The 22,381-nt window shown below is 38.2% G+C and overlaps 1 protein-coding gene and 1 long non-coding RNA gene across 4 annotated transcripts in view; one reads left to right on the top strand and one right to left on the bottom strand.

Annotated features, from left to right (window-relative positions):
• FBXO38-DT (FBXO38 divergent transcript) overlaps nucleotides 1-21,416 on the top strand; it is a 115,544-nt gene extending 94,128 nt beyond the window's left edge. Inside the window, exon 5 of the long non-coding RNA NR_105057.1 lies at nucleotides 20,719-21,416. This is a non-coding gene — a long non-coding RNA (FBXO38 divergent transcript). The remainder of the gene's footprint in view (nucleotides 1-20,718) is intronic.
• On the bottom strand, nucleotides 3,468-20,929 carry SPINK13 (serine peptidase inhibitor Kazal type 13). 3 transcript variants are annotated; one of them, NR_138538.2, is made up of 6 exons: nucleotides 20,835-20,929; nucleotides 19,581-19,683; nucleotides 18,811-18,959; nucleotides 15,339-15,379; nucleotides 7,492-7,619; nucleotides 3,468-3,723 (listed from the first exon to the last, which is right to left on the bottom strand). NR_138538.2 is itself a non-coding variant. In NM_001040129.3 (5 exons), the coding sequence occupies exons 2-5, from the start codon at nucleotides 19,648-19,650 to the stop codon at nucleotides 3,675-3,677; spliced, it is 285 nt and encodes a 94-aa protein (NP_001035218.1). In that variant the 5' UTR covers nucleotides 19,651-19,683; nucleotides 20,835-20,929; the 3' UTR covers nucleotides 3,468-3,674. The 3 variants fall into 3 exon arrangements, 2 of the variants coding, with proteins under 2 accessions (NP_001035218.1, XP_047272756.1); NM_001040129.3 differs by lacking the exon at nucleotides 18,811-18,959 and having other exon boundaries at nucleotides 15,339-15,376; XM_047416800.1 differs by lacking the exons at nucleotides 15,339-15,379; nucleotides 18,811-18,959; nucleotides 19,581-19,683; nucleotides 20,835-20,929 and adding an exon at nucleotides 8,441-10,628.
• Nucleotides 21,417-22,381: the final 965 nt, after the last annotated feature.

Genomic DNA, 22,381 nt, shown 5'->3' with positions numbered 1-22,381 from the left:
TTATTTGTGTTTCTCTTCCATGTTGATGATGATACTATCTTTAAATTCCCCTTGGATCTTCATCAGAGATCAGAATTTATAAGTTGATTGATACATATTCATTAAATATATGTTGAACATGCAAAGTGGAGATGCATCATGTGTAACATAATTTTGTTGTGAGGATTAAATGAAATAACATGAAAAACATTCAGTAAAATGCTTGACATGCATAATTTCACAACCAATGAATGAAGAGGATACAAAAGATATTTTTAAACTTGTGTCTTTTATCCTATAGTTTCTTAAGTGAATTCATAACAAGGAAGAATATGATATTTTTAACACCCAGGGAAAGTCACCTTACCACCAAAACATCCTTTAGTACACTTCAGGTTGTGCCTTGAAGTGTTTGTTTGCATTTGTTAATATAAATGAGAGAAGAGAAGAAAACTTCTCCCACCTCAGGTAAGCCCGTAAATGCAGCTGTCTCTACTGCATCTCAGGGCATTGTTAGATACATATTTTACTTTAGCCTGGAATCCATTTGAAATGAGTTGAGTGTATGAAAAGAATGGCCATGTACATATATATATATATTTATATATAGTTATATATATGGTTATATGTATGGCAATAAACCAATTATTAATAATGTAAAATGTAGTGAGTGATATTACACACCCATCTCTATAAAAGGCATTTTCCCAAACATTCTCTTTAGTGTTTGCAGGAATCCCATACATTAGGTGTAAAAAGTGGCATTAAAGTTAGAGAAGGGGCTACTCAAGGAATGGAAGTCACATATGTGGCAGGAGGAAGTGAACCTAAGCCTCAGTGCTCCATGTCCATCCCTCAGCTCACTGCACCTCAGTGCCACACTTAGCCCTGAGAAAACCTCCTCTGCCCACGGACACTCACTGGGGTAGCATCCTTTACAGTTTTCAAGAACAGACATTATTTTCTGTTAGGGGGAGAGCATTTCCTTCATAAGTAAAATTTATCCACCAGTACTGATCCTAGAGGTGTTGAGTGCCTTGAAAGCTCTCTGTGTCATGAACTCTTAGACTAGAAATGAATCTTAAATTAGAATGGCACAAATGTGTATCACAAACATATAAACATACTCAAGCATACCATGGCTGACATTTAAAATGTCTGGACTAAGAAAATGTGAGGCCAGAGGTTTGGATGAATAAACTACGTGGACATAGAAGCTTCCTAGGACAATGACATGAATGTTGTCAAGAAAGGCTGTGTCTGTTAGAGGCCAAAAGGCCTGAATTACTTATGGGGGTATGACCAGTGTCTAGACAGCAGAGATGAGGCATCGTTAGCGATTCACCTGGCATGTGCCTTAACATTGCTTTTCCAGCAGGGCAGATAAATGATGGCCTGAAAGCTGCCTCAGAAAATCAAGATGATTCCAGTCTTCTCCACAACCCTGGAGGAGAATGGGCATCCCCTATTCTCACTATTCCAAAGTCAAGAGTGTCCTTGGGGGAAACACCCGAGTCAGCAGGGGCAAGGAGGTGCAAGTAGCATTTGGTAAACAACACAAAATATCTGTAGAACGCAGTGGAAATATTCATGAGGGAAGACAGCCATGGAAAGAAGGACTGGGGAGAAGAAGCACAAAATTGTAAGAGAATGTGATATGATTAAGACAAGGCTGCTTGCCAAAACTCCACACAGGCAGCGGTCGAGCTGGTCTTCTATTCTCCTTGGACAAAAAAGGCTCTGTTGTCCTGATTATGAGCTCTCTAATAGAGTATACAGATTTTGAACCTTTCTTTTTGCAGAAGATGACTTTCTGTAACCATGCAATATATATTCAACTTGTAAGTAGTTAACTTTTTAAAAAATTTGGATGTTCTTTATTTCTTTATCTTGTCTGATTGCTCTAGCTAGGACTTTCAGCACTATGTCCAATAACAGTGGTGAAAGTGGGCATCCTTGTCTTGTTCCAGACTTAGAGGAAAGGCTTTTAGTTTTTCCCTGTTCAGTATGATACTAGTGGTGGGTCTCTCATATATGACTTTTATTATGTTGAAGTTAGATGTTAACATTTTATGTATATTAAAAAATGTCTGGGCTTGGATGCCTATACTGCCTTTGTAACCAGGGAAAAGGCTCTGGTTTCCAATACAAATAGGCTTTAGGAAAGGATCTTTGCAAAAGTGAAAAATCTAGGGAGTCTGTTTTCCTTTGATACATTGTTCTTTAATTTATCATTTGGCTTATCTCAGAGAACAGAAAACATGATGCCAACCGTGTAAGAGAAGAGGAAATGTATTATTACCTATAAAAGAAAAGTCAAAGAGTAGATCTAATTTAGGCATGGCATGGCTGGAGACAGAAAATCGATGCCATCAGAATATATTTTCCCTGTATCTCTTGTTTCTGTTTGCTCTGCTCTTTAACTTCATTCTTAAACGGGCTCCCATTTGTTCTTACAAGATTGCTGCCTGTGGCTCTGAGGAAACACATTACAGGAAAAAAGACTGATAATCTTTCTCTTAGGATTTCTAAGTAAGGACCAGAATATCAATGGATCTGTTTTACGTCATGTGCTGTTGCCTGCACTAATGTCTGTGACCAAGGGACTTCCATTGGTAGATGTGCATAGGCCCAGATTATGTGTTCCACCCCAGATCATGATGAAGTTAACACAAATGAAGACACAACCTTGAGGGTTGGGGTAATCACAAAAAGATAATTGAATTTTAGTTTCTAGAATATAGATGACTGGATATAGAGACATCAGCAAAACATGCCTACTCTATTTGACTTTTTTAATCATTAGTTCCCATACTAGCTACTAACAACACTCATTGTTATTGCCAGAATATTTCTACTATCTGATGTAAACCTATAGTGGATTTTCAAATCCCAATCTTGCTAACAAATGGAGGAGCCATAGTGTATTTCATCAGGATATTCAATATATATAAGGCTAGATACCAGTAAAGTGGATGACTTACTATTTTGTATAAACAAAACAGTAAGTGGAACCAAGAAAAATTTAAAGCCACTATGGCCAGAGACACTGATAGTGAATGTGACCCAAAATTATAGTTAATCAGTGGCAAAATTGAGGGCAAAATTCATGTCTCCTTATTTCCATACCAGTGTCCTTTCTTTCTTTGAGTAGGAATCATCCAGTAGCCTAATACTCTTCCTCTCTCCATGGTATTTTACTTCTCCAACCACAGAAAGTATAACATCCATTTGTGAACGGTGAAAAGTAGCACTAGACCTGAGTAACTCAGTGATTCCTTCCTTTGGACTCTGTCTTTTGTAGGAAGGATATTTTCTCTTTTGCTCCATGTCTTTTAATTATATTAGTGGGGTAGGGTTTAATTCTGCAGATAGGCCTGCAATTGGTGGTAAGTATAATTTTAGGTAGTGTTAAGCCCAACTGGTGAAGAGAATTTAAACTACCCAAAATGGGAGTAAGATGACTTAAAACAATCAATACACAGAAATGAATATCAGCTCTTTTGTTGTTTATTTGTAACAAATGTGATATTTGGTTCTTGTCAGTTTGATTCCTTCATTTTTGTCTCTCATTTTGTTCGACATTTAAGTACAGCATAGGGATGTTATTTAATTTACATTCTCACACTCTAAAAGAAATACTATTCTGAATTAAGTAGAAAAAGAATAAGCAAGTGTAGTTACTCTGGTACCCATTAATCACATTTTCCATATTTTTCAAATTTTATACGATAATGAAATTCCCTAAAGAGAAGAGAAAAAAAGAAGATTAGTATCATAAGGAAAGTGAACATTGGTATTGAATGTACTTTTCCTTATCTTCTAAAAGAGGTCCTGAAAAGGGAGCTGCTTTTAAATTCCCTTTACATCCTTCTTTTTTTTTTTCATTTTTGTTTGTTACCACTATAATTTGTACATTCTTTCTCCATGTCTTGATTATTCAAAAGGTGTCCTATGACATTTTTTATGTAGAGTTTTTCATCCCCTAACCCATTCCCATCTCAATACCTTTCCATTCAACATAGAAATACCAGATTTTTTTTTACCAAGAGGTAAAAGATAACCACAGCAATAATGCTATGCATAATTCACGCAATTTGCTCTGTGCTCAAATTTTTCACTGTTTTCACACTGTCCATTGATTGTAGTCTATTCCCCTTACTTGGGTATTTATGTTTCACAAAAGACTAGCCTCTGCATTATTTTCCATCTTTACATATTACTATTCTCTAAATACATAATGTTCCTTTCAGCATCATATTTGTATTACATCTCTAAAGACACTGCACACTTATTTGATTCCAAGTGTTTTCCCAAACAGTTGGCACTGTGTAGATTGAACAATCCATTTTCTTTTTTGTGTTCCATTTCTTTAAAACTCCTTTAGCCCTCTCGTTCTTCAAGAGACTTCCCACACCAACCCCTATAATCAGGTTCACCTTTGATATATATCTAATGCACTTATTTGGTTCAGGAATTGCAAACATAAATGCTTGGAGCCTAGTGGGTAATATAAGTAAGTGATGTGAGCCACTTCCATCACAAAAGAGAGAGGAAGAACTATGGTTGTTTGGAACACATGATCTCCATTTGAACAGGGAGCTACTAGGAGGCAGCTGTTGCTTATTTATTGCCTGAGAAATCCTTGCTTAGTATCACTAAGCAAGTTTGAAATCTGCATTTGTGGGTAAATTCTATCAATGATTTCAAAACGTATTAAAACATCATTTTTGTCCAACAAAACCAAGGTTGCTTTCTATTCTCATCAACTTTGCATGCATATGTTCTTTTTGTCAAATAAGACCACAAGCTTTTTAAGAGTATGGACTGTTTCATGTAATGTTCTCTTTTCCTAGCATATATTACCAGAGTGCTAGGCTGAGTAGGCTTGAGGGATTCATTAAGGACAGAGAATATGACTCTATAAATTCTAGCCAAGTCTTGGATTCATCATTGTTTTTCAAAGATTTTACGTTGTTCACAAGTGGCAGATATCTCTGAGAGCAGTGAGTCCAATTTGCCAGGGCTTTTTCCTCAAAACACTGCCAAGAGCAGAGACCAAGGAATTACCCTTCTCCTCCTATTGTTCAAAAGAGCATTAGGACTATTCTTCTTGCCCCGAGATATAGAAATGGCATGAAAATTAAGTTTATACATTCAGGTCATATGGAGAATTAAGCAAATATGCATGTCACTGCACCATTCCTGCCATTGGAATTAATTTTCTGTGTTCCAGAATAAGATATGTTTGATATGAACTGTGCTCCTATTGGCTACAATGTTACTGAACGGTTTTTAACTATTTTAACCAGCAGGGCTCTTCATTTATTCTTAGACTGAGAAATAAAAACTAGAGTGGTCACAGTACATCTCTCAGAGTTACAAGGTAGAAAGGAAGGAAAGAAGGAAAGAGGGAGAGAGGGAGGAAGGAAGGAAGGAAGGAAGGAATTACTACACCAGGAATTATTACCAGCTTCTGGAGGATGACCTAGAAGCCCAAGGAAGGAAGAAAGAAGGTAGGAAGGAAAAATGGAAGGAAGGAAGGAAAGGAAGGGAAGGAGGGAGGGAGGAAAGAAGGAAGGAAGGAAAGAAGGAAGGAATTGATGAAGGAAGAGAGGAAGGAAAGGGAGGGAGGGAGGAAGGAAGGAAAGAAGGGATTGTTTCTTTAACCTCATCCCCATTTTTGCCAAGGAGATCTGAGGCCTGATCTTTGAGCTGCTAACACCATTCCGTGAGGTTACAGCCTCCTCACATTTCCTAGATGAGCCTGAAAGGAATCTTAGAATGATCTTTGTGGGAAGTTGTGAAGTAATAGTCCGGCAGATCACGGCCCACATTGTGTGTCTGTTTGAATCTATGTGATTTTCCAGAGGCCAGGGCATTATCAGCAAGACCCTCTTACACTGCTCTTTTTAGTAGTGTGTGTACAAACACCACAGAGTATAACAGAAATATTACATGGAAGAGCTACAAAGACATTTCCAAGTCTCTTTTCTGACTATCTCATTTCTAAGAAATCAACAGTAACCGCATTAGGAAGGAAGGATAATGTAACTTAATTATTCTATATAGTCTGGTATCTCGTTCATCTTTTAATGAGAACAGTAGAGCCAACAGTAGAGACCTGGTTAACTTACATTTTTACATTTACATTCTTTTTCTTTAAAGGACATTTCAATTATCCTCTGAAATGGAATAATCCTCATTGAAAGCATGATACTAGAAGCTCATGAGGATTATTTTCAAAGAAAGCTGTGCAGAAGAGTTGGCTCAGCAGGCTTGGCATGCTCAAACCAGCTCCTGGGAGATAACCTACGAGCCCTTGGAATAGTCTGTGCAATAGGGTATGTTTGTATATCCAGGACCTGGGTCTGCCAAAGAGTTTATGCTAGCCATGAAATTTATAATGAACACCTGTTGTTGTTTACCTAGGGTCCTGGAGCACTCCATATCAGTTTGATCTCTGGCTGGGGAGGAGCTGGAGATTAAGTATTTAAGATCAGCCATGTAGGTATTCTGTGCCTACCTGACTGACCCCCATTAAAGAGTCTGAACACCAAGTCTTGGGTGAGCTTCCCTGGTAAGCAATACTTCATGTGTGTTGTCATGGTAGCAGGGAGAATTAAGTATCGCTTCTGTGAGTCCACTGGGAGAAGACAGCTGGAAACTTGTGCCTGCTCTCTCGGGGACTCCACCTCATGCATCTTTGGTCTTTGCTGATTTTAATTTGTATCCTTTCATTATAATAAACTGTTACCATGAATATAACAGCTTTTCTGAGTTTTATGAGTCCTCCTGAATCCTCAAGCCTGAAGATAGTCTTGGGGAACCTCAACAGAGAAGATCTCACAGGTCATGAAGAAGTTAACTGACAAGACACAGGGCTGATTTGTGAAAACAATTTTGAATGGAGCTAAATATACATTGTAAGGAATATTATTAATTCTTTAGTCTAAATTTCCTACTGAATTTATTTGAAAGGCAAAAACAATATGAAAAGTTGACTGTCAATTTTTATGCATGTAAGACCACCCTTTGCTACTCGTGTGTGTATCTATACCTGCATCTATGTTTATACGTTTGTCTATGGCTATAGCTGCATCTGCATCTTTTTCTACATCTCTTAATAGCTACCAAACACTGATAGGTGCTATTCATAGGTTTGTCAATGTGACATATAAAAAAAGTTCAGTGTTTTTTTTAAATAACTAGATTTCCATTTATTGCTTGAATATAATCTACAGATTACCTACAAATATAATCTCTGTACAGTTCTCCCAGAACATTATGTAAGCCTTTTTTCTTTTTTAAATGATTCAACTTTGAATACTAACTAAATTCTAGGAGACTTTCTTCACTCTCTCTGTAGTCTGTCCCCAGTTTTTGTAAATAATGAGGCTATTTTTTTAAAAAAAGTATGCATCAGTAAAACCCAATTCCTTGACTATGTTTCTTTGAAATTTCTGTGAAGAAGTAGAGGGAAAAAATAATGGCATTTTATTCTGAACTTACCTCTGTTCAACACAAAAGAAACACTCATTCTGGAAAGTGTGGCCATTTGAGGCACAAACAGGTGCTGTCACATTGGGGCAGTCTGCATTGTAATCAGGGTCCAGTGGGATATACATTTTACATCGGGGCTGCAAATACATGACACCATAAAGTGACAAATAATACACTCTCTCCCATCTATTTCTTCCTGTCACTTCTGCCCCACTTAAAAAATAATATTAAATCATACCAGTCAATTGATCTTATCAAGGATTCACTGTTCTGTGGCCTTCTGTCAGGCCAGTTTCTTTTTCTGATTGTAGTGTCCCCACCCATCCTATCATCTCTTCAAGTCATAACCATTTTAATATCCCTGTTTAACCTTCATGTTTCAGTTCCAGTAGGATGTTTATGAGTGGAGATACTTATGTGTTTGTGAACTTCTAGAGGACAGACCTCAAGTGTCATTGGTCAGAATAAGGATTTTGTATTAAAACTTATTAAAACTGCAGGCAAGATAGCTGAATAGGAACAGCTCTGGTCTGCAGCTCCCAGTGAGACCAATGCAGAAGGTGGGTGATTTCTGCATTTCCAACTGAGGTACCTGACTTATCTCACTGGAACTGGTTAGACAGTGGGTACAGCCCACGGAGGGTAAACAGAAGCAGAGTGGGGCGCCACCTCACCCGGGAAGTGCAATGGGTCAGGGAACTCCCTCCCCAGCCAAGGGAAGCCATGAGAGACTGTGCTGTGAAGGACAGAGCTATCCAGCCCAGATACTATGCTTTTCCCACAGTCTTCGCAACCTGCAGACCAGGAGATTCCCTCAGGTCCCTACACCACCAGGGCCCTGGGTTTCAAGCACAAAACTGGGTGCCCATTTGGGCAGACACTGAGCTAATTGCAGGAGTTTTTTTTTTCATACCCCAGGGGTGCTTGGAATGCCAGGGAGACAGAACTGTTCACTCACCTGGAAAGGGGGCTGAAGCCAGGGAGCCAAGTGGTCTTGCTCAGCAGGTCCCATCCCCACAGAGCCCAGCAAGCTAAGATCCACTGGCTTGAAATTCTTGCTGCCAGCACAGCAGTCGGAGGTCGACCTGGGACACTCAAGCTTGGTGGGGGGAGGGGCGTCCGCCATTACTGAGGCTTGAGTAGGTGGTTTTCCCCTCACAGTGTAAACAAAGCCACTGGGAAGTTCCGACTGGGTGGAGCCCACTGCAGCTCAGCAAAGCTGCTGTAGCCAGACTGCCTCTCTAGATTTCTCCTCTCTGGGCAGGGCATCACTGACAAAAAGGCAGCAGCCCCAGTCAGGGGCTTATAGATAAAACTTCCATCTCCCTAGGACAGAGCACCTGGGGGAAGGGGCAGCTGTGGGTGCGTCTTCAGCAGACTTAAACGTTCCTGCCTGCTGGCTCTAAAAAGAGCAGTGGATCTTCCAGCACAGTGCTTGAGCTCAGCTAAGGGATAGACTGCCTCCTCAAGTGGGTCCCTGACCCCCGTGCCTCCTGAGGGGGAGATGCCTCCCAGCAGGGGTCTACGGACACCTCAAAGAGGAGAGCTCTGGCTGGCATCTGGCAGGTGCCGCTCTGGGACAAAGTTTCCAGAGGAAGGAGCAGGCAGCAATCTTTGCTGTTCTGCAGCCTCTACTGGTGATAACCAGACAGGGGCTGGAGTGGACCTCCAGCAAACTCCAGCCAACCTGCAGAAGAGGGGCCTGACTGTTAGAAGGCAAACTAACAAACGAAAGCAATAGTATCAACATCAACAGAAAGGATGACCACGCAAAAACTCGATCTGAAGGTCTCCAACATCAAAGACCAAAGGTAGATAAATCCACAAAGATGAGGAAAAATCAGCCCAAAAAGGCTTAAAATTTCAAAGCTCAGAAAGCCTCTTCTCCTCCAAAGGATCACAACTCCTTGGCAGCAAGGAAACAAAACTAGATGGAGAATGAGTTTGACAAATTGACAGAAGTAGGCTTCAGAAGGTGGGTAATAACAAGCTTCTCTGAGCCAAAGGAGCATGTTCTAACCCAAAGCAAGAAAGCTAAGAACCTTGATAAAAGGTTACAGGAACTGCTAACTAGAATAACCAGTTGAGAGAAGAACATAAATGACTTGATGAAGATGAAAAACACAGCATGAGAACTTCATGAAGCATACACGAGTATCAATAGCCAAATCAATCAAGCAAAAGAAAGGATATCAGAGATTGAAGATCAACTTAATGAAATAAAGTGTGAAGACAAGATTAGAGAAAAAAGGATGAAAAGGAATGAACAAAGCCTCCAAGAAATATGGGACTATGTGAAAAGACCAAACCTACATTTTACTGGTATACTTGAAAGTGATGGGGAGAATGGAACCAAGTTGGAAAACACCCTTCAGGATATATTATCCAGGAGAACTTCCCCAACCTAGCAAGACAGGCCAACATTCAAATTTGGGATAAACAGAGAACACCACAAAGATACTCCTGAAGGAGGGCAATCCCAAGAGACATAAATGTCAGCTTCACCAAGGTTGAAATGAAGGAAAAAATGTTAAGGGCAACCAGAGAGAAAGGTCGGTTTACCCATGGAAAGAAGCCCATCAAACTAACAGTGGATCTCTCTGCAGAAACTCTACAAGCCAGAAGAGAGTGGGGGCCAATGTTCAACATTCTTAAAGAAAAGAATTTTCAACCCAGAATTTCATATCCAACCAAACTAAGCTTCATAAGGGAAGGAGAAATAAAATCTTTCACAGACAAGCAAATGCTGAGGGATTTTTGTCACCACCAGGCCTGCCTTACAAGAGCTCCTGAGGGAAGCACTAAACATGGGAAGGAAAAACCGGTATCAGCCACTGCAAAAACATACCAAAATGTAAAGACCATCAACACTATGAAGAAACTGCATCAACTAATGGGCAAAATAGCCAGCTAGCATAATAATGACAGGATCAAATTTACATATAACAATATTAACCTTAAATGTAAATGGGCTAAATGCCCCAATTAAAAGACACAGACTGGCAAATTGGATAGAGTCAAGACCCATCAGTGTGCTGTATCCAGGAGACCCATCTCATGTGCAAAGACACACATAGACTCAAAATAAAGGGATGGAGGAAGATTTACCAAGCAAATGGAAAGCAAAAAAAAAAAAAAAAAAAAAAAAAGCAGGGGTTGCAATTCTAGTCTCTGATAAAACAGACTTTAAACCAACAAAGATCACAAGAGACAAAGAAGGCCATTACATAATGGTAAAGGGATCAATACAACAAGAAGAGCTAACTATCCTAAATATATATGCACCCAATACAGGAGCACCCAGATTCATAAAGCAAGTTCTTAGAGACCTACAAGGAGACTTACACTCCCACACAATAATAGTGGAAGACTTTAACACCCCACTGTCAGATAGATTGATGAGACAGAAAGTTAACAAGGATATTTAGGACTTGAAGTCAGCTCTGGACCAAGTGGACCTAATAGACATCTACAGAACTTTCCACCCCAATCAACAAAATATACATTCTTCTCAGCACCACATCGCACTTATTCTAAAATTGAACACATTATTGGAAGTAAAACACTCCTCAGCAAATGCAAAAGAACGGGAATCATAACAAACAGTCTCTCAGACCACAGTGCAATCAAAGTACAACTCAGGATTAAGAAACTCACTCAAAACTGCACAACTACATGGAAACAGAACAACCTGCTCCTGAATGGCTACTGGGTAAATAACAAAATTAAGGCAAAAATAAAGATATTCTTTGAAACTGATGAGAACAAAGACACAACATAACAGAATCTCTGGGACACAGCTAAAGCAGTGTTCAGAGGGAAATTTATAGCACTAAATGCCCACAGGAGAAAGTGGGAAAGATCTAAAATCGACACCTTAACATCAAAACTAAAAGAACTAGAGAAGCAAGAGCAAACACATTCAAAAGCTGGCAGAAGGCAAGAAATAACTAAGATCAGAGCAGAACTGAAGGCGATAGAGACTCAAAAACCCCTTCAAAAAATCAATGAATCTAGGAGCTGGTTTTTTGAAAAGATTAACAGAACAGATAGACTGCTAGCCAGACTAAGAAGAAAAGAGGGAAGAATCAAATAGACACAATAAAAAATGATAAAGGGGATATCACGAGCAATCCCTCCAGAATACAAACTACCATCAGAGAATACTATAAACATCTCTATGCAAATAAACTAGAAAATCTAGAAGAAATGGATAAATTCCTGGACACATACGTCCTCCCAAGACTAAACCAGGAAGAAGTCGAATCCCTAAATAGACCAATAACAAGTTGTGAAATACAGGCAGTAATTAATAGCCTACCAACCAAAAAAAGCCCAGGACCAGATGGATTCACAGCTGAATTCTACCAGAGGTACAAAGAGGAGCTGGTACCATTCCTTCTGAAACTATTCCAAGCAATAGAAAAAGAGGGACTCCTCCCTAACTCATTTTATGAGGCCAGCATCATCCTGATACCAAAACCTGGCAGAGACACAAGAAAAGAAAATTTCACACCAAGATCCCTGGTGAACATTGATGGGAAAATCCTCAATAAAATACTGGCAAACTGAATCCAGCAGCACATACAAAAGCTTATCCACCATGATCAAGTCGGCTTCATCCTTGCGATGCAACGTTCGTTTAACATATGCAAATCAATAAACACAATCCATCACGTAAACAGAACCATGACAAAAAGCACTTGATTATCTCAATAGGTGCAGAAAAGACCTTCAATAAAATTCAACACCCCTTCATGCTAAAAACACTCAATGAACTAGGTATTGATTGAATGTATCTCAAAATAATAAGAGCTATTTATGACAAACCCACAGCCAATATCATACTGAATGGGCAAAAGCTGGAAGCATTCCCTTTGAAAGCCAGCACAAGGCAAGGATGTCCTCTCTCACCACTCCTATTCAACATAGTATTAGAAGTTCTGACCAGGGTATTCAGGCAAGAGAAAGAAATAAAGTGTATTCAAATAGGAAAAGAGGAAGTCAAATTATCTCTGTTTGCAGATGACGTGATCATATATTTAGAAAACTCCATCATCTCAGCCCAAAAATTCCTTAAGCTGATAAGCAACTTCAGCAAAGTCTCAGGATACAAAATCAATGTGCAAAAATCACAAGCATTCCTATACACCAATAATAGGCAAACAGAGAGCCAAATCATGAGTGAACTCCCATTCACAATTGCTAAAAAGAGAATAAAATACCTAGGAATACAACTTACAAGGGATGTGAAGGACCTCTTCAAGGAGAACTACAAACCACTGTTCAAGGAAATAAGAGAGGATACAAACAAATCGAAAAACATCCCATACTCATGGATAGGAAGAATCAATATTGTGAAAATGGCGATACTGCCCAAAGTAATTTATAGATTCAATGCTATTCCCATCAAGCTATCATTGACTTTCTTCACATAATTAGAAAAAACTACTTTGAATTTCATATGGAACCAAAAAAGAGCCCATACAGCCAAGACAATTTTAAGCAAAAAGAACAAATCTAGAGGCATCACGCTACCTGACTTCAAATTATACTACAAGGCAACAGTAACCAAAACAGCTGTATAGACCAATGGAACAGAACAGAGGCCTCAGAAATAACACCACACATCCACAACCACCTGATCTTTGACAAACCTGACAAAAATAAGCAATGGGGAAAGGATTCCCTATTTAATAAATGGTGTTGGGAAAACTGGCTAGCCACATGCCAAAAACTGAAACTGGACCCCTTCCTTACAATTCACACAAAAATTAACTCAAGATGGATTAAAGATTTAAATGCAAGACCTAAAACCATAAAATCCCTAGAAGAAAACCTAGGCAATACTATTTAGGACACAGGCATGGGCAAATACTTCATGACTAAAAAACACCAAAAGCAATTGGCAACAGAAGCCAAAATTGACAAATGGGATCTGATTAAACTAAAGAGCTTCTGCACAGCAAAATAAACTATCATCAGAGTGAACAGGCAACCTACAGAATGGGAGAGAATTTTTGCAATCTACCCATCTGACAAACGGCTAATATCTAGAATCTACAGGAAGTTTAAACAAATTTATAAGAAAAAAACAACCTCATCAAAAAGTGGGTGAAGGATATGAACAGACATTTTTCAAAAGAAGATATTTATGCAGCCAACAAACATATGAAAAAACGCTCATCATCACTGGTCATCAGAGAAATGCAAATCAAAACCACAATGAGATACCATCTCACACCAGTTAGAATGGCGATCATTAAAAAGGCAGGAAACAGGTCGGGCGCAGTGGCTCACGTCTGTAATCCCAGCACTTTGGGAGGCGGAGGCGGGCAGACCACGAGGTCAGGAGATTGAGACCATCCTGGCTAACATGGTGAAACCCCGTCTCTACTAAAAAATACAAAAAATTAGCCAGGCTTGGTGGCGGGTGCCTGTAGTCCCAGCTACTCGGGAGGCTGAGGCAGGAGAATGGTGTGAACCCAGGAGGTGGAGCTTGCAGTGAGCCAAGATCACGCCATTGCACTCCAGCCTGGGTGACAGAGTGAGACTCCGTCAAAAAAAAAAAAAAGAAAAAAAGTCAGGAAACAACAGATGCTGGAGAGGATGTGGAGAAATAGGAATGCTTTTTCACTGTTGGTGGGAGTGTAAATTAGTTCAACCATTGTGGAGGACAATGTGGTGAGTCCGCAAGGATCTAGAACTAGAAATACCATTTGACACAGCAATCTCTTTACTGGGTATATACCCAAAGGATTATAAATCATTCTATTATAAAAAACACATGCACACATATGTTTATTGTAGCACTATTCACAATAGCAAAGACTTGGAACCAACCCAAATGCCCATCGATGATAGACTGGATAAAAAAATGTGGCACATATATACCATGGAATACTATGCAGCCATGAAAAAGAATGAGTTCATGTCCTTTGCAGGGACATGTATGAAGCTGGAAACCATCATTCTCAGCAAATTAACACAGGAACAGAAAACCAAACACCATATGTTCTCACTCATAAGTGGGAGTTGAACAATGAGAACACATGAACACAGGGAAGGGAACATTACACACTGGAGCCTGTTGGGGGAGCGGGGACAAGGGGAGGAATAGCATTAGGAGAAATACCTAATGTAGATGACAGGTTGATGGGTGCAGCAAACCACCATGGCACATGTATACCTATGTAGCAAGCCTGTATGTTCTGCACATGTATCCCAAAACTTATTAAAACTGAGAATAAACCCTGGATTTACCACGGTTTAGCTTTGTGACTTTGAACACATGGCAGGTATTATTTTACTTAATGATCAGAGATATATTTACTCAATATCTTATTTGACTATAAAGATATTTATTTTACTAAAATATTATATTTTAAAGCTTGTGCTACATGGGAGACAATCTAAGTATGGAGAGGTCTATGTGCAAGGTCACATAGAATCCTTCTATTCTGCTTTACCTCCATGAAGATTTATTTATTTATTTATAGACAGGGTTTCACTCTGTTGCCCAGGCTGGAGTGCAGTAGTGCCATTATGGCTCACTGCAGTTTCCAACTCCTGGCCTCAAGTGACCCTCCCAACTCAACCTCCCATGTAGCTGGCTACAGCCTTGCCCCACCACACCTGGCTAATTTTTGTATTTTTTTAGACACAGGATCTTCCTATGTTGCTCAGGCCGACCTTGAACTCCTGGGCTCAGGTGATCCTCCTGCCTCAGCTTCCCTAAGTTCTGGAATTACAGGCATGAGCCACTGTGCCTGACTTTCCATGAAGTTTTAGATCTCTCATGTCTGGAGAGTGATTAGACTAGAATTACAACCTAGAACTGAGAAATTTAAATTTACCTTAGGCCACCTAGTGAAGTCACGTTTATTGAAAATTCCTGCTAATAAAGAATAAACACAGTAAGTTAAAGGAAATAGTTCTCCATGGGATATAACATCACCTACTGAAGTCACTGATTGAATAATGTAAAATTGAATAATGAAAATATATACAAAAGAATTTTAATAGCAATAGAATTTGCAGTAACATTCCTTTTTAAATTACTTTATCCACTTTTTCTTTTTCACAGTATTGATTTTATTTATAAATTTGCTGTATCAGTGAGGAAAGAGTAAAAACTGAGGTTGTATATATAACTTAAAATAATTGTATTTATTTATTTTCACTTTTATTGGCTTTAGCTTCCTCTTCACTGCAATTGGGGTAATTACATGCATTTTTAAAATTTAAAAAAGTAAATATGATATAGTAAGTAATGTATCAGGCCAGTTCCTACCAAGATGCTGAATTAAAGTGGGCACAGTTATGATAAGAAAACTGAGGGAGTTCCCTGGCTTTCAGGATACTGACTTTATGGGTTGGTTGTATGAGGGGTGCTGGTGTTGCCTGGGACAGAGGGTGACTAGCTGCCTGTGGGAAAATGAAATAAGAAAGTACTTATTGTATTATGCTCTTACTTATCTGTCACTGTTAAGTGATATTTAAAATATCATAGAATATTCTGACTTTCCAAAAGTTAGAATTTTCAGAAGGTAAAAGAAAAATTCTGCACGATATTTAGAAATCTTCCCACAAAGAAAAGACTACTAACCTTTCGAGGAATAGGTCTTGCTGATTACATGTACACTCTTTCAGAGAACAAAAAAGATAGAATGCTTTTATCTACTTCTGAAAGGTCAGAATATTTTTATGACAAAAGTAGCTGGATATAGTTATAAGAAAAGAAAAATAAAGGTCTTCATCTAGTAAAAATGAAACAAAATTACATGTATATACTGCACATCATACATAAGAATTAACTCCAAATGAATCAGGATTTAAACATAAAAAAATAAAACTATACAATAATTAAAATGACATAATTCCTTTTTCATCATAAAGATTCATTAATCTAAATACAATAACAGAAAACACAGATGCATTTTTTTTTACTTAAAAATGAAAACAACTTCCTGGCAAAAAATAAACATATACAATCTAAAAAGATTTTTGATAAAGGGCATAATTTATAAAGAACTCATTAAAATTGAGGGAAGAAAAAAATAAGAAACCTAACTGAAGAGCAGACAATATGCATGCAAATATAATTTATGCAAGCATACATACTCAAAAAGATACAGAAATGACCCTTAAATCTCTAAAGGAAATTCAGCCTTACTCATGCTAAGAAAAATGCTAATTAAAACTATATGGAAATACCATTTATCACGTATCAGATTAGCTGTTGAGAAAGAGGTTCCTGGTGGGAATCCAAATTGGAAGAATGTTTATGAAGTAAAATTTGGCAATATTGAACAAAACTATATTTGCATTTACAGAATTCTTATTCCATGCTTTTGCAAAATGTAAGCCTACAAATTAGAGTTCAATGTATAAATGACTTTTTTGTCTTTAGAATAAGAATATATAGTTCAACTAATAGATTCAAAGATAAGTTGGGTTAGTTCCATTCCTCCCATTTTGGTGTAAACATATTTTTCTTTTAAAATATGGTTTAGTTAATTTGTTAAAGACAGACCTGAAGGTTCTGTACTTGTGATTTCTGGTGTGGATCCTGAGAACAGGAAGTATTGACATCCTAAAGGTCTGACATTTTCATAACAGATTGGCATAAAGATAAACAAATAGATCAGTGAAAAGGATAGAGTCCAGAAATATAGGCATCTAAGAAGTTCAAAAATATACACTTCTATGGACAAGTTCTCTTTGGCAAAGGGGAAAGAACAATTTAGGGGAAAAAGAATCATCCTTTCCACAAACCATACTAAAACAATTGGGCTTCTGGAAGGAAAACAAAAAAAGAATCTCAATTTATATATTGCACCATCATCTGAAACTTTTTTATTATCTAATATTTTTTAAATTTTAATTTTCTAATGAAAAGTTATTAGTTCATGCAGTAACTTTGGAGAACCATCTGGCATTATCTTCTATTATAGAAAATTCACACACATTGTAGCATAGCAACTCTACTCTTGCTATATACTCCAGATATATACCTAAGAGAAACTCTCGTTCACGTGCATCAAAAAACATGTATAAGAATATTTCTACCAGCTCTGCTCTTAACATCATAAATTTGTAAGCAAACCAAATGTCCATCAACAAAAGAGTAATGAAATTAGGGTATGGTCGCACATTGGGATATTATTCATTGATGTGATATTATTCATCAATGAAACTAAATGAACAACTGCACACATGAATATTTATAAATTTAAACAATATGTAGGAAAAAGCAAATTTCAAAAGATGAAAATATTCTCTTCATATAGTATTGAACTACAAAGTCCTAATAATAGGCCAGGCGTGGTGGCTCACGCCTGTAATCCCAGCACTTTGGGAGGCCAGGCGGGCGGATCACGAGGTCAGGAGATGGAGACCATCCTGGCTAACATGGTGAAACCTCGTCTCTACTAAAAATACAAAAAATTAGCCAGGCGTGGTGGCGGGCGCCTGTAGTGCCAGCTACTCGGGAGGCTGAGGCAGGAGAACGGCGTGAATCCGGGAGGCGGAGCTTGCAGTGCACTCCAGCCTGGGCGACAGAGTGAGACTCCGTCTCCAACAGAACAAAACAAAACAAAAAGTCCTTTATGACAAGTTATATAAATGTTACATAAATGTTAAAATAATTATAAAAATATATTTTCCATGATGTGTATAAATAAAAGACTATATTAAAAATAAGAGCATGAGAAGAATGGACACAAGATTTAGAATGACTGAAACTGAAGTAAGAATTTTGGGAAAAAATAAATTTAAAAAAAGATGTAGAATTGTGTTTTTCTTGGATGAAGATAGACAAGAGAATTGGTTGATTGAATACTACATTACTGGATTTGAACTTTTGTCAGTAGTCTAGATTTTTGCAAGAATGATATATTCATGGTGCTTTTTGATTGAACCCAATGAAATTTATTGAACCAAGTATTGTGATTAATCCAATTCTATCCAACTGAGGCATATTTAAAATAATAAAGTATATCACAGAGAACCTACACATAGCAGGCAATCAATTGATAATAGCTACATTTTTAAACATTCATTTACTGAGCATTTACTTTGTACCATGTATTTAAGGATGATCTGGAAATGCAAACATGAGGTTATAGTGTCTGCTTTACTAATCTGTAATTTATTTGCAGGTGTACTATTTTCTTATTGCTGTTGTAATGAATTGTCACAAACTTAGTGACTTAACAAAACACAAATTTATTATCTTACAATTCTGGAGGTGAGAAGTCCTAAAGTCAAGATGTCAGCAGTGATGCATTCCTCCTGGAGTTTCTAAGGAAGAATTAATTTCCTTACCTTTTCCAGCTTCTACAGGCTGTCTGAGTTCCTCGGCCCATGGCCCTTTTACTGCACCATTCTAACTTCTGCTTCCATTGTCACATCTTCTCTGACTTGGGCCCTCCTGCCTCCCTCTGATAAGAATCCTTGTGATTATATTGTTCCACCTGAATAGTCCAGTATAATTTTTCAATCTTAGGATCCTTAACTAAATTACATCTGCAAAGTCCCCTGTGCCATGCAAGTCAACATATTCACAGGTTCCAGTGATTAGGACTTGGATATTTTGGGGAGGCATTATTCCATCTATAATTAGCAGGTAACATAGGTTTTGTTTTTATACATTCATGATTTTTACTACTGAACTCTAAAGACACATATCAACCCAACATCAATCACAGAAATAGCTTTTTTCATTGGCTTATTTTTCATTATCATATTTATCATATCATTTATCATATTTGAAATCCATAAGAAAATGCATCATTTTTTCTAGGAAAAATAATAATTATACTGTATATTGCTTACAATAAAAAAATCACAATTTTCTCTGCTCTAGAGGATTTCTTTTGAATTGACAGAATAGACACGAGGTTGTGACTCCACCATGTAGAAAACAAGTCTGGTTTTTCTATTTAAGAATATACATTTTAATTATACCCAGTTTGGACTGCACTGGCTTACATTTCAGCAAAATATTTCCCATAAAAGTAAAAAATTACTCGTTTTCTTTCCTATAACTTTAAGAAAATCAGAGTTTATCTCCCAAAACCTCTTAGGTTACTCACCTGAGAAAGCCACATGTGTCAAAGTAGAGCATACCAGGAAAAATATAATCTTGTGGGGAAAGGCAGCCATTTGATCTCATATAAGACTCTTCTTTGATAAGGCCTGTGAACATGCCCAAGATTGTTTTTAGTTTCCCCCACAGCTAGCTTTTCCAATGTGAGAGAACACAATACCCTAAGGTGATACCATTCCTGTACACTTGCCCTGGTGATTTATACTGACCTGGTCTCCAGGAACTCAGGCCTGAGAGAGCCCTTTTGCTTTCAAGAGGAAGATGAAAAACATAAAAAAATGACTTTTTTTTTTCTGCCAAAAACTAGCTGACAATCACAGTTCTGGCCTGGAAGAAAAATTAGGCCCAATATTCATCAGGGCTGACTCAAAGTCTATTACCTATACATAGGTTCACCCTACAATTATCTAATTATCTCGCTGTTAATTACCTAAGCTGCTGCCTTCTTGTTAGTGAATACAGACATGTAAAGAATTCATAAGAATTCTGAGGTAACAGGTGTAAACTGAGAGCTGTCCTGTACAATCTTGGACATATAACCCTATAACATGTGATTCCCTGAGATGGACCAGTTTCTCCCACACTTAAGCCCTTTATTTCCCAGCTAAATTTCTCTTTGCCAGGTCAGTCACATGGGCTCAAATATAAAGAATGGGTTAAACATAGAATTGTTGGTCATGCTTAATAAAAATTGTGTATACCTTCCCTGATGCAAGAATCAGAAAAAAAAACAAAAAACATATGACATATGACCTTGAATTGAGTGAGATGCTAGAAATCAGAGTTTGGAGTTAGAGAGATGGCAGTTCAAATTCTTGGTTTAATGTCTCTGAGAAGTGTAGGCCTCAGAAAGTATGAACTTCATAGGATATTGAAAGAATCAACTGATATTAATATAAGTAGAGTTTAAACATATTAAATTGACAATTTGTTTAGCCCAACTTTTCTTTGCTAGGAGTGAAATATTTAGGCCCAGGGAGAAGATACCTTCCCCGTCCATTTCCTTAACTTGCTCACGCCCTACTCTATCCATTCTGTCTCCTTTCAAAATTGTAGCAGGGGCATAAAGAGAAATGAAGGAGAACCATAAATAAGTGTGACATTTTCTCTACTTTAATATGCAGAGGAAACAAAAGGAGGGTGTTAGAGGAAAAAGAGGGAAACCCACTGACAGAGAGGAAGGCTGAAGAGATCCCACCGCTGACTTGGACTAAGGAGAGAGAAGTCAAAGAGTGGTTACCTGGATGAGGTGGCTGAATATGGGCCTGCTCTTGTCACTTTGGATGTCACAACTAGCCTTGAGAAGAGCTGCTGTTCCAGGAGTCTGTCACAACTAGCCTTGAGAAGAGCTGCTGTTCCAGGAGTCTGTAGCCAAGGACGTACAGCAGTGGAGGCTGACTCATCGCATAGCTGAGTGACCAATTGCTTGGCATGAGTTTACTTTAATGGCTGTTTCTGAGTTTGATCCCTCTCCGGAACCAACCCCTCTGATGTGTCCTGTTCCAGCAGGAAGAGACAGACCTGGAGGTTCTGTACTTGTGATTTCTGGTTGTGGATCCTGAGAACAAGAAGTACTGGGATCCTAAAGTTCTGACATTTGCAAAGCAGATTAATGACCTACCACATTCCAGATCATTTGGTGATTTTGTGTGTGCGTGTGGGTGTGTGTGTGTGTGTGCCAAATTCAAGGTGGTCCCAGCCTTTCTAGTCTTCTCTAACCTTTCTTCTCAGAAGTCGCACCTGTTCTGTCTTTCTAGGATATAATTTTTTTTCTATTAGCCTGGGTAACACCCCAACCAATAAAGTTTGCAATATCCAAGCCTCCTAATTTCTCTACTTATTAGCTTATATTAAGCTTCAGCATGAGCAAGCCTAAAAACTCGCCATTATCTGGAAAAGTTCTATTTCACAGGCTTTAATCTCTCCTAGAGTAGTTAGCACTCTTTTGTGGCTTTGTGTTCCTGTACTAGCTTGAATTCCACAGTCTGACGTTAATAATTAGCTCCTTAACACGTCCATCCTCTCTTGATGTCCTGCTCTCTATTTTTCCTTCTTTCTTCCAAGTTGGGATAAATTCAGCTTCTTATTTTCCTGCTCCAGACCTTGGTTGTGGAGAAAGATAGAAAAAGTTCCATACAGGGGACTCTGTGATCCTGCTAACATCATTATTTACCTAAGCTCTTTAGACTCCAGTGAAAGCTTCTGATTTAATGTCATGTCCCTACTTTATGCCACATGTCCCATACCATTTTCTTTGTTTTATGCAATTTATTTCCACTATCTGATCCCATTCCACCCACATGACTTTGAGTGGAAAACTTCATCTCTTCATTGCTGAGTAAACAAACTTCAGGATGAACAAGCCCTGTCCACTATTTTCCCTTTTACTTTAAAATTCTGGAATTTTTATGATCTACGTTTTTTTCCTCTGTTTTTATTCTTCACTCCATATCAACTTACTTGGGGATCTACACCTTCATTCATTCTTTTCATTCTGTCGGCACCTGGCTATGGAGTTTACATTTCTCATCATATTTACTCCTCATAATAATCCTGTGAGGTATATACCACTCTGAGTCTTGTATAAGAGAAAAAGAAACTGAGATAGGGATAACTCAAAGGGATAATTCATTTGCTGGAGCTACCAACTAGCTACTAACCATGCTAGAATGGACAGAGATGACATTCATGCCAAAGACCATGTTGACTTGCTATCTCTACATTTGCTCTAAGTTTAGAAAAAAAAAATCCCTTCAATTTATCCTCCAACAGTCTTCTTAGAACCTT

The sequence above is a fragment of the Homo sapiens genome, chromosome 5, assembly GCF_000001405.40.
Source record: "Homo sapiens chromosome 5, GRCh38.p14 Primary Assembly".
Taxonomy (NCBI): Eukaryota; Metazoa; Chordata; class Mammalia; order Primates; family Hominidae; genus Homo; species Homo sapiens.
The sequence above is the reverse complement of the archived record's forward strand: the minus strand, read 5'-3'. Positions and strand labels throughout refer to the sequence as shown.

Coding starts and splice junctions, on each gene's coding strand:
- SPINK13 (XM_047416800.1), bottom strand. CDS start 8,608: ATGGCGGACGCCCCTCCCCCCACCAAGCTTGAGTGTCCCAGGTCGACC. Junction 7,620..8,440: donor GGCTTCAGCCCCCTTTCCAG/GTGAGTGAACAG, acceptor ATGTATTTGCAG/CCCCGATGTAAAATGTATAT. Junction 3,724..7,491: donor TTCTTTTGTGTTGAACAGAG/GTAAGTTCAGAA, acceptor TCTTCTCTTTAG/GGAATTTCATTATCGTATAA.